Raw genomic sequence first — 12,952 nt, 5'->3', positions numbered from 1 at the left:
AGGGGGAAGCCCTCTCATCCTCCTCCCACTGGGGGAAACGAAAGCACAGAGGTCATTCAGCAAATGAATCTCCAAGTGGAAAAATATAATTACAAGGAGTTTGGTAAAACTTTCTACTTGGAAATAAAAATTACAGAGAACTAGACTGGGAAGAAATCTTTCTTGCTGTGTCTTCCTCTTGCTATCTTTTCTAGAAGAAAAGCCTGGAAATGAGAAGCCTTCGGAATAAATGAAGAATTCAAAAGATTTTGATGTCAAAGTACTATGCTGACATTCAGAGAGATGGCAGGTAGGGGCTTTTGCAAGGACACATTTTGACATCCAGTAAGAGTCAAGGTGAGGTATAAAAATAACAGTTTGATATTCTATCTATTTAGTTGTTCTTGTTGTGATGAAAAATTTCAAAAACTTGTAGAAAAGTATAGATGTCAGAATAATGAACCAACATGTAATCATCATTCAGCTTAGACAATTATCAAACAGAGTTTTTAACAAGGTTAATCTTGTTTCATCAAGATACATTTGGAAAAAACATTAAAGTCTGCGAGTTTATTCTTCGTAGTCCCTAGAGTTCTACATTACAGGAAGTAAGATGTGTTACTTTAACTGTGGTTGACAACTGCTGAAGACACTTGTCCTCTGCCTGTTATTGTTTCTCAAACACTGCCACTACATTTCTTGTCTAAGTTTTATAAAGTTAAAAGATGAAATTTAAGTTTTTTTCAGTTACCTATTCTAATATATTCAAATATTTCTGAAGAACATATACTTTAGCCCTAAAATGCCTTTCTGTTCTGAGAGTGTACATTTTTTTGTACCATAATATATTAAAATAGATTAAACATACTGGTTTTAGCTAAGATAATTTAGCTTTAGTTAACATTCACTAGTGATTTACTATAGATCTTTTTTTTTATTACACTTTAAGTTCTTGCATACATGTGCAAAACATGCAGGTCATAGGTATACACGTGCCACGGTGGTTTTCTGCACCCATCAACCCGACATCTACATTAGGTATTTCTCCTAATGCTATCCCTCCCCTAGCCTCCCACCCCAAGACAGGCCCTGTTGTGTGATGTTCCCCTCCCTGTGTCCATGTATTCTCATTGTTCAACTCCCACTTATGAGTGAGAACATGCAGTGTTTGGTTTTCTGTTCTTGTGTTAGTTTGCTGAGAATGATGGTTTCCAGCTTCATCCATGTCCCTGCAAAGGACATGAACTCATCCTTTTTTACGGCTGCATGATTTACTATAGATCTTAATTGCTACTTGAGAATAATCTTTACAAAATGCTTACCAATATTAGCATAATGTTTCTTTTCTTGTGTGTTTGTAGATAGTTCATACATGTCTCCATAAGCACGAGCAAATCGCCACATAAACTCTATTTCATCTCTAAACTGAAAAGAAAAGATGGAGTTGCCTGTTAAATTAACTTGGTAACTTGTCTATTCTATTCTTGTTTTCTACTGCAACTTTTTAAAAACTTAGGCAGGTAAACTGGTATTTATAGATTATTGAATCTATGTATATGCATATTTCGTGTGAAACATTTTTAATCCAAATACTCATGGCTAAGAAATATGACCTAATGTAGTGTTACATTTGGATCTTAAAACCAATTAATATTATCCAGACACTAGCTCCATCTATGCAGAGAAGAGATTTGATAGGCACCAAAATCTAGAAATTCTTCCTGAGCTGTGGCATCCTTTTCTTCTTTTCCTTTCCAAGTTATCTATTATCAATATAATGAGCATCTCAGTTAATATCTGTAAATTGAAAATGCATATACTCAAAAGAGCAGTCACTTTTTTTACTCAAATTACCTAAATATAATCCTGGAGAGCTATCAAGTTTTAGACAATGTGTTTAGAGTTGCTAAATCCTCAGACAAATAGAGATTTATTTCTCCATGGGACACTGCAAACTTTTAATTTTTAATTTTATTTTATTTTATTTTATTTTTTTTAGTGGTGGTGGTAAGAGCTCTGGACAGGCTTTTCTTATTCAGACCCAACACTAAACACTGCAAAATCAACAAATGACCATTGGTAGAAATAGCTTTGAATACCCATATCTGTCTCAAAATATTTGTTAAATATATAAATTAGTAAAAAAAAAAAATCAAATAAAAGTAAATCTGCGTAATTATAGCTCTGGTTCTCATTTTTATGACCTTAGAGTCTAATAAACTTTTACATTTACTTTTTTAAAATTTTATGCATCTTAAATAAAAAATAAATTTTAAAAAATTTTAGTCATTTTATAGAGAAATTTTACATCAATCATCAAAATGTGGGAACCATGACACAATTATTATAGTTATAACTGAAACAGATGGCAGATTAAATTAAAAAATGGAACTATACGAAGTGCTATTGTTATGTCTCTTACCTTTTCTTTGTGGTCACGAAGTAGTTCAAAACTCTCCGACTTGCCAGACTCACTCATACGTAAATGATCTACCTTCTGAAGAAGGACATCTAAATTTAATTCCTCTACACGTGTGTTAAATGCCTTAGGGACTGGAAAACTCTGTTCTTCTGTGTCAGTATTAGCTGTAATATACCTAAAATCGCAGAAATAATCATCAACTCCTTTGAAAGTTAAGTATAATAGCCAGAGCATTCCTTTTAAAATGCAAGTCAAATCATGCCCCTCTTATGCTTGAAACTCTGCAGTGGCACGTGCTTTCACTCAGAAAAAGCTCCAGTCCTAACAGAAGTCTACAAGTCCCTGCGCAATTTGCCCACGATCTCGTTACCTCTTTGATCTCATTTCCTACTACTCTTCTTATTCAAATACACACAGGTCACCTAGCTGCTCCTTCAATATTCTAATCACGTGCCTACCTCGGAACCTCCACTTGCTGTTCCCTTTAATGAAACGCCGTTTCCTTAGACAGCCACATAACTCACGCCCTCACCTCCTTCAAGTCTCTGCTCCAATTTCATTTTCTCAATGTGGCCCATCCAGACCACTCTAATACCTCAATCCCCACATTCCCTTCATCTCTAACCTCCCTCATAATGCTTTTTTCTTTTCCCATAGCATGTATTACCTTCTAACATACTGTATAATTTACTAATCTACTACATGTGCTGTTTGTCAGTATCCTCCCCAGGAGAATGCAAGCTCCCTGATGGTAGGTTCATTAACTGATGTATCAAGTGCCTAGAACAGCACTATTCACTGAATTTGCTGAATGGATGATACAGTTGTAGGAACTCAGCAGGCACTCAAAACTGTGTGTGTAAACTCACAAAAACACATATTTATAGTTCAAGATGATCTAAGTTTAAACTTTAACGTGGTTTTTAAAAATTAATACTATTGCCTACATTTCATTTTTGCCAGCAAACAATACAAACAACTTATTTTTATTAATTCAGACTCTGCCTGTTCTAAAAAGGTTTTAAGGAGGTATACAAGGATATATAACATATAAGAGAATAAATTAGAAATAGTGAAAAAAGACAAAGGCCAAATGTGAATGAAGTCAATATAAAAAACACACAAATTTTAGATAGCTATACCTTTGCTACAAAGGACACAAATGTTCTTCATTTTCTAGCATGCAATGCAATCAGCTTCACAACTTGCAGCTCCCGTTAGATAGAAACAAACAAAAAAACTAACAAAGCAAGTTCTTAAATTTCTTTCATATGCCTTACAAAGAAGATACTGTATGAACTGATCTCCCACTTCTTCAATAACATTCTTTACTAACGGAAACTCTACTCTTCCAATTGCTCAAACCAAAAAACTTGGAATCATCCTTGATGCTTTTTTCTTTCTCTTAAGCAATACCCAGTCTGTTAGCAAATCCTGCTGGTTCTATCGTCAAAATACATCCAGAATCTAGCCACTTCTCCCCACCTCTCCCCACTACCACCTTGGTCTAAGCCTCCATCATCTCATCTGGATTACTGCAATGACCCCTTATCACACCTCTTTGCTTTAGTCCTTGACCCTTATATTCTATTCTCAACAGAGTAGCAAGAATAACTCAGATCACGTCACTCCTTTGCTCAAAACCCTCCATCAGATGTCCAAGTCAGAGTGAAAACCTAAGTCCTTTCAGGGGTCTACAAGGCCTAACATAATCTGGCCAATACCTCTGGTCTTATCTTCTATCACTTTCCTGCTTGCTCACAGCATTCCAGAAACTCTAACTTCCTTGATATTCCTTGAACATATCAGTCATGTTCCTGCTTTAAACCCTTTGTATTTTTTCTTTCTTCTGCCTGGTATGTTCTTCTCCAGATATTCATATAGTTTATTTCTTTGCATATTTCATATCTTTGTTCAAATGTAATCTTCTTATTATTGCAGATGTTATGATTATTTACATAAAAATAAAAATTCTACAAATTTTGATTAATAGGAGAGTATAGCAAATTGGCTGAATATAATATTAACATATGAAAGTCAGTTTAATTTCTACATATCAGCAAAAAACTACAAACATAATTAAATAAAATATTCAATTTGCAGTGACCTCAGAGAATATCAAATGGCTAGGAATAAATCTAACAAAAGATATGTGAAAATTCAATGGAGAAAATTATAAAAGCATATTAAAAGATGTTTCTAAAATGACCTAAATTCATGGAGAAATATATCACGTTCATGGTTTAGAAGACCCAATATCATAAATATGTGAATTCTTTCCAGGTTAATCTATAGATTCAATGCAATTCAAACTTTATAAGCCTAATAGGAATTTTTGTAGAATTAAATAAGATGATTCTAAAAGTTATATGAAAAAGCAAAGAGCCCAGGACAGCCAAAGCACTCTTAAAGGGAGCAAGGAGAGAAGACTTACCCCACCAGATTTTAGGACCTACTATGAAGCTATAATAATTAAAGACAGTGTGGTATTGGTACAGCAATAGATGAGTGAATGATAGAACAGAGCCTAGAAACAGACCCACATGCATATGAAAATGTGGTACATGGGAGAGTTGGCATGTAAGATCAGTAGGAAATTCAGGCATTCAGATGGGAAAAATTGTTATCTCTATGGAAAAAGATGAAATTGAAACTCTACCTTATATTTTTAAAAAACATAACTGGATAGTTTAAGAAAATGTTATATATTTTAAAAATCTAGTACAAAATACAGACGAATATATTTTAGTCCTTGGGGTAAGACATATGAAATAGACATTATGGATCATCTATTCAAAATTAAGCGTCCAGAAATAATTTCTTAAAATTATGATCAGTTTATTTTGATAAGAGTGCCAAGACAGTTTAGCGGAGGAAACAATACTCTTCAACAAATAGTGCTAGAACAAATGGATAAGCAAATGCAAAAAAGGAACTCTCACTTCCTATCATATATAAAAATTAACTCAAAATGTATCAAACCTAAGTGTAAGAGCTAGAACTATAAAATGTTTGACAACATTTTATATGTATATGTTTTCTTTCTCATAAGAAAACATAGGAGCAAATATTTGTGATCTTGGATTAAGCAATGGTTTCTTAGACATGACATCATAAGCACAAGTGACAAAAGAAAAAAATGAATAAATTAGACTTTATCAAAATGAAAAACTTAGGTGCTTCAAAAGATACCATTAAAAAAGTGAAAAAACCCACAGAATAGAAGAAAATATGTTATGAATCATATATCTGATAAGAGACTTGTATACAAAATATATATAAAACTCTTAACAATTCGACAATAAAAAGACAAATAATTCAATTTAAAAATGGGCAACTCTGCAAATAAAAACCACCAAATTATGTAATTTAAAAGATGGAGCTTTATGGTAACAAATAATATACAGCTTTTATAAAGGTATAAAGCTATTATCTTTATGTTATTCTTTATAAGAACAAAAACTCAAATGTTGCTATAGCCATTAAATGAATTACATCAGAATTATGTATCTACTGCAACTTGCTCTCTATCTCTTGCTCTAATTCTGTCTCTCCCATGCACACATAGAATAGTTTTATTGTGAAATCTGCCATATATCCAAATAATTAGGCTTATTCAAATTCTTCTAAAGAATTACTAAAGATGGAATGCCCCTCAGGTTTATTTTATAAAACTAATATAACTGACACAAAAACCAAACATGAATATTACAAAAAATAAAAATTATAGGCCAATCTTACACATAAACATAAATGCAAAAATCCTCAATAAAATATCAATCAAGCTATTGCAACAAATATAAAATTATGTATTACAACCAAATTGAGATTATACTAGAAATTACAAGCACAGTTTGACATTAGACAATTTCTCTGGCGCAACAGATGAGACCTATCTGATCAATTCAGTCATTACCAAAAAAATTTTTTTTTCCAATAAATTCCAACACCACTTCAGGACAAAAGAAATACCAAAGCCTTAAACAAGAAATAGAAGGCAGCCAGGTGCGGTATATTCCCAGCACTTCAGGAGGCAGGAAGATCACTTGAGCCCAGGAGTCCAAAACTAGCCTGCACAACATGGCAAAACACTGTCTCTACAAAAAATTAAAAAATTAGCTGGGTTTAGTGGCCCACACCTGTAGTCCCAACTACTCAGGAGGGTGAGGTGAGAGGATAGCTTGAGTCTAGAAAGTTGAGGCTGCAGTAAGCTATGATTGTGCCACTGCACTCCAGCCTGGGAGACAGAGTAAGAAACTGTTGAAAAGGGAAAGGGAAAGAAAACAGGAAAGGGAAAGGAAGGAAAGAAAGAGAAAGCAAGGAAGCAAGCAGGAGAGAAAAAAAAGAAAGAAAAAATAGGAAGGAAGGGAGGGAGGGAGGAGCCTTTCAAACCTGAAAAAGGCTATATGCTAAATACAATAATACATTTCACACTTAATTATGAAACATTAGAAGCAGTCTCTTCAAAATCAAGAATAGAAAAATATGTCCAATATTGCTCTTCTATTCAACATTGTACTGGAAGTCTTTTTGGCACAATATTAAAAGAAAAACAAAAATTATAATAATTGGAAAAAAGAAACAATCTTATTTTTTGAAGATTATTCAATAGAGGACCTAACAAAATTTACATATAAGTAATTAGAACTAATTAGGATTTATAATAAATCTTCCAAAATCAATTTTGTTCTTATACTCTATAAAACAAGAAAATATAATTTTATAAAAATATAACATTTATAATAGTAAGAAAAATATAAGATACCTATGAAAAAATTTCACAAAAGTTTTAAAATGAGTTTTCTGGGGAAAATTACAAAATAATATCTGAAAACATTAAAGAATACCTAAGTAAATGGAAAACAATATATTCATGGATACGAAAATTTAATTAAAACAATTTCATAAGGCTCCACATTAATTTATACTTTTAATGCAATTCTGAGAAAAATTCCAATGGAATTTTCTATGGAACAGACCTGACCCTAAAATTAATATGGAAAGGCAAGTGCAAGAAGAGCCAAGACAATTTTGAAGAACCAATATCAGAACTGCAGTATAAAGGATAAAGCTAAAGAAACTGGGTCAATGTGGTATTGGTATAGCAACAGGTAAACTGGGCAACAAAAGAGAACATGTACGCTAGTCTATTTCCCACATTGAAAAAAAAAAAAAACCCAGCTGTGGGAAAATTGGTTTCCTACTTTGAACAGGGATCTTCTATTTAAAACTGGATATTTCTCAGAAACTTATAAGAAAGTTCTGAAAGAGAATTTTAAAAATAGGGCATATCCATGCATTATTGAGAAAATTTAACTGTATTTATTAACTTTGGGTTAGAAATTAGTTTTGTACTACCCAGCCCTCCTCCCAAAGGCATTTCATAGATTATCTGATGTCAAACCTAGAATTTTCTAATAGCCTTTCAGCAGGTCTAGAGAAGTTCATCTTAAGATGTCAAATTTGCTTACAAACATTTGTTCTACATGCACTTTTCTGGTCCTTTCTTCTGCTCTAAATTTTCACAAAAACTATGCCATTGTTCCTATCCCTTCAACTCTGCATGATCAACTGTTTATTTCAATAGCAACAACAGCATCTCTGAAAGCAGAGTTGCATTATTTTGGGAGAAAAAGACATTATTTACTGTGAAAATAAAAGAGTGTATTTACATAAGTACATCAGGAGTGAGTTACATTGAAATAGGTCCTCATTTCCCCATGAAAACATCAAGTAAACAACAACAGACTTTCTTTTTTTTTTTTTTTTTTTTTTTGAGACAGAGTCTCGCTCTGTCACCCAGGCTGGAGGGCAGTGGTGTGATCACGGCTCACTGCTGCCTACGCCTCCGGGTTCAAGTGATTCTCCTGCCTCAGCCCCCCAAGCTGGGATTACAGGTGCCTGCCACGGTGCCCAGCTAATTTTGTTGTATTTTTAGTAGAGACCAGGTTTCACCATGTTGGCCAGGCTGGTCTCGAACTCCTGACCTCAAGTGATCTGCCCACCTCGTCCTCCCAAAGTGCTGGGATTACAGGCATGAGCCACCATGCTTGGCCTTGACCCATTGCACCTAGCCTAACAACAGACTTTCTGAAATATCTTTGTGGGAGACCAAGAAACTACCACATACAACATGTCCTGAAATTTTATGTCATCTAGAGCTTTGGTAAGTATGAGGGGACTTCAAAAAGTTCACGGAAAAAAGGAATTAAAAGATAAAAATACAAAACATAAACTTTATTTCTCAGCACATAATTCATCAAGGTCAAGACAATTTTGTAAGTGAACATACCAGCCATTTAGTCCATCTCTAAAGAACTGAGGGTCCTGGGAATTGAACCATATCAATGTTGTCTTTTGTACATTATTAACTGAAGAAAAATTGGTGCTTTAAAAAATTTTTTTTAAGATTAGGAAACAAAAGTTGAAAAGAGCCAAATCAAATGAGGACTCTAAGGTGGAAGCCTAATGATTTCCCACTGAAAGAAACTCTTGCAAAATTGCCCTTGTTCGATGAGAGGAATGAGCAGGAGTATCATCATGGTGGAGAAGAATACTCTGATGATGCTTTCCCCAGAATTTTCCTACTAAAGCTTTGACTAACTTTCTCAAAACACTTTCATAATAAGTAGATGTCATCATTCTTTGGTCTTCTAGAAAGTCAACAAGCAAAATACCTTGAGCATCCAAAAGTCTGTTGCCATGACATTTCTCTTGACCAGTCTGCTTTTGCTTTGATTGGACCACTTTCACCTCTTGGGCGCCATTGCTTTGATTGTACTTTGTCTTCAGGATTGGACTGGTAAGGCCATATTTCATCTCCTGTTATGATTCCTTAAAGAAATGCTTCAAGATCTTCATCCCACTTGTTAATAATTTCTCTTGAAAGCTCTGTTCTTCTCTGCAGCTGATCTTGATGCAACAGTTTTAGCACCCATTCAATGGAAAGTTTGTTTAACTTTAATTTTTTAGTCAGAATAGTATAAACAGAACCAACAGAGATGTCTATGGTACTAGCTATTATTTCTGCTATTAATCATTGGTTTTCTTCAATTAGAGGACACAAACAAAATTCATTTTTTTCTTGCAAATTGATGTGGAAGTGTCTCTGTGGGCTTCATCTTTAACATCACCTCATCCCTTCTTAAAATGAGCTCTCCATTTGGCTTATTTCTTTCGGGCACTGTCCCCATAAACTTTTTGTAAAGCATCAATGATTTCACCATTCTTCCACCCAAGCTTCACCATAAATTTGATGTTTGTTCTTGCTTCAATTTTAGTAAAATGCATGTTGCTCTGATAGGGGCTTTTATCAAACTAATGTCTTATCCTTCTTAGTGTCTCAAACTAGATCTTTTTCAGATATATTATGGTGAGTTAGCATAAGCTTATTTTGGTGCAAAAAAGTGTGAAACCAGTGCATAGTTTTTTCATAATATTCATTTTCCATGAACTTTTTGAAGACCCTCTCATATGATAACTGAACTAAAAATTTACTGGAAGGGACCAACAGAAGACTCAAACAGGCAAAAAAACAAACAAACAACCAGGCAAACTTTAAGACAGGTCATTTGAAAATATTGGTTCTGAGGAACAAAAAGAATAAAAAATGAAAAAAAAGTAAATAGAGCCTAAAGGACCTACGGGGCCTCATGAAGCAGACATATACACATATTGTAGGGGTTCCAGAAGGAGAAGAGAGAGAAAGTGGCAGTAAGCTAATTTGAAGAAACAACGGCCAAAGCCAAATCTAGGAAACACAATGAAATACAAATGTAAGAACTTTTTTTTTTTTTTTAAGACAGAGCCTCACTCTGTTGCCCAGGCTGGAATGCAGTGGCATGATCTCGGCTCACTGTAAGTTCTGCCTCCTGGGTTCATGCCATTCTCCTGCCTCAGCCTCCCAAGTAGCTGGGACTACAGGTGCCTGCCACCACACCTGGCTAATTTTTGTATTTTTAGTAAAGACAGGGTTTCACCGTGTTAGCCAGGATGGTCTCGATTTGACCTCGTGATCCACCTGCCTCGGCCTCCCAAAGTGCTGGGATTACAGGCGTGAGCCACCACGCCCGGCCACAAATGCAATAACTTAACAAACTCCAAGTGGGATAAACCCAAAAAGATCCACACCAAGAATATCATACTTAAAGTACTGAATGCTAAAGACAAAAAGAATCTCAAAAGCAGCAAAAGAAAAGCAACTCATTACATTTAAGGATTCCTCAATAAAATCATCAGCAGATTTCTCAGCAGAAACCTTGCAAACCAGAAGGCAGTGGGACGATATATTTAAAGTGCTGAAAGAAAAGAGAAACCTGTTACCTGAGATTTCTATAAACAGCAAAACTGTCCTTCAAAAATGAGGGAGAAATTAAAATATTTCTAAATAAAAGCTGAGGAAGTTCACTATCACTAGAATTTCCCTACAATAAATGCTAAAAGGAGTCCCTCAAGTTGAAACAAAAAGGACCTTAGACAGTCACTTGAACCATACAAAAATATAATATTCTGTAGTAAAGGTAAAGACATGGGAAAATATAACAGAATTATTCTAAGTTTGGCTCATAACTCCACCTTTTATTCTTTTACATCATCTAAAGAGAAAAGTAAAAAGTAATTATGAATCTATATTAATGATTCTAGATTAATGATAATACAACATAAAGATGTAATTTGTAATATCAACAAAATACATGGGTGGTGGAGCTGGAAAGGAGTAGAATTTTTGTATGTAATTAAAATTAAGTTGGTATGAATTTAAAATATGTTGTTATAACTTTAGGATGCTATGAATAATCCCCATGGCAACCACAAAACATATTTATAGAATATATGTAAAAGGAAATCAAAACATATCACTAAAAAAAAAAAAAAAACTAAACACAAAGAGAGGTAGCAATGGAGAAAATGAGGGACAAAAAAATCTATGGCATATACAAAATCAATAACAAAATGAAATAATAAGTCCTTTCCTATCTGTAATGACTTCAAATATAAATGGGATTAAATTCCTCAATCAAAAGGTATATTGGCAGAATGGGTTTTAAAAATTGGGATTTAACGATATGCTGTCCAAAAGAGACTAATTTTTGATCTAAAAACACACATATGTTGAATATGGAAGGACAGAAAAACATATTTCATGAAAACAGTAAACAAAAGAGAGTGGGAGTGGCTATACTAGTAGACAAAATAGACTTTAAGTCAAAAATTGTACAAGAGACAAAGGCAGGACATAATAAAAGAGCCAATTACCAAGAAGATATAACAATAACACTAAATGCACTCAACATCATCCTTCCTAAATATATGAAGCAAACACTGACAGAATTGAAAAAAGAAATAGCAACACAATAATAGTAAAAATAAAATAATAATACCATAGTAATACCATTACTTTAATAATAAAGTAATAGTAAACGAATTCAATGACCCAATTTTAATAATGGATAAAACAACCAGGCGGATGATTAGTAAGGAAATAGAGGACTTAAACATCACTATAGACCTATAAACCTGTAGGTCCTAACAACACATATAGACCATGCCACCCAAAAATAACAGAATACACATTCGTCTCCAATGCATGTGGAATATTCTCCAAGTAGATAATATATTAGGCCACGAAATAAGTCTTAGTTAATTTACAAACATAGAAATTATATGAAGCATATTTTCTGGATCACAATAAACATGAAACTAGAAATCAGCAGAAGAAAAACTGGAAAATCCATAAATATGTGAGAATTAAAAAACATACTTTTAAACAACCAATGGGCCAAAGATGCAATCACAAGGCAAATAAGAAAACATCTTGAGTCAAATGAAAATGAAAACATAACATACCAAAAACTTATGGGATGTAGCAAAAGAGGTGATAGGAGGAAAATTTATACCTGGAAATGCTTACATTAAAAGAAGGAAGATTTTTGTACAACGGACTCAACCAAAGAAACTCACGTGTATGGAGGAGCCCCTCCGCCCGGCAGCCGCCCTGTCTGAGAAGTGAGGAGCCCCTCCGCCCGGCAGCTGCCCTGTCTGAGAAGTGAGGAGCCCCTCCGCCCGGCAGGCGCCCCGTCTGAGAAGTGAGGAGCCCCTCCATCTGGCAGCCGCCCCGTCTGGGAAGTGAGGAGCGCCTCCGCCCGGCAGCCGCCACGTCCGGGAGGGAGGTGGGGGGCAGCCCCCGCCAGGCCAGCCGCCCCGTCCGGGAGGGAGGTGGGGGGCAGCCCCCGCCCGGCCAGCCGCCCTGTCCGGGAGGGAGGTGGGGGGCACCTCCGCCTGGCCGCCGCCCCGTCCGGGAGGTGGGGGGGCGCCTCTGCCCCGCCGCCCCTGCTGGGAAGTGAGGAGCCCCTCTGCCCGGCCGCCACCCCGTCTGGTAGGTGTACCCAACAGCTCATTGAGAACGGGCCATGATGACGATGGCGGTTTTGTGGAATAGAAAGGGGGGAAATGTGGGGAAAAGATAGAGAAATCAGATTGTTGCTGTGTCTGTGTAGAAAGAAGTAGACATAGGAGACTCCATTTTGTTCTGTACTAAGAAAGATTCTTCTG

The 12,952-nt window shown here is 35.3% G+C and overlaps 1 protein-coding gene and 1 long non-coding RNA gene across 19 annotated transcripts in view; one reads left to right on the top strand and one right to left on the bottom strand.

Moving 5' to 3' along the window:
* The window catches only part of RMDN2 (regulator of microtubule dynamics 2), a 146,238-nt gene that overhangs the window by 90,523 nt on the left and 42,763 nt on the right, over positions 1–12,952 (bottom strand). For all 18 annotated transcript variants that reach the window (XR_939668.4, XM_047443519.1, XM_047443518.1 and 15 more), the window contains 2 exons: positions 2,402–2,576; positions 1,302–1,404 (listed from right to left, as the gene is read on the bottom strand). Coding sequence is in view for 17 of the 18 variants with exons in the window: in XM_047443519.1 (XP_047299475.1) it covers positions 1,302–1,404; positions 2,402–2,576 (278 nt within the window). In the remaining variant the exon portion in view is untranslated. The remainder of the gene's footprint in view (positions 1–1,301; positions 1,405–2,401; positions 2,577–12,952) is intronic.
* The window catches only part of RMDN2-AS1 (RMDN2 antisense RNA 1), an 86,008-nt gene that overhangs the window by 59,726 nt on the left and 13,330 nt on the right, over positions 1–12,952 (top strand). The window lies entirely within an intron of this gene.

The sequence above is a fragment of the Homo sapiens genome, chromosome 2 (assembly GCF_000001405.40).
Source record: "Homo sapiens chromosome 2, GRCh38.p14 Primary Assembly".
NCBI classification, from domain to species: domain Eukaryota; kingdom Metazoa; phylum Chordata; class Mammalia; order Primates; family Hominidae; genus Homo; species Homo sapiens.
This window is presented reverse-complemented; position numbering and strand designations above follow the sequence as displayed.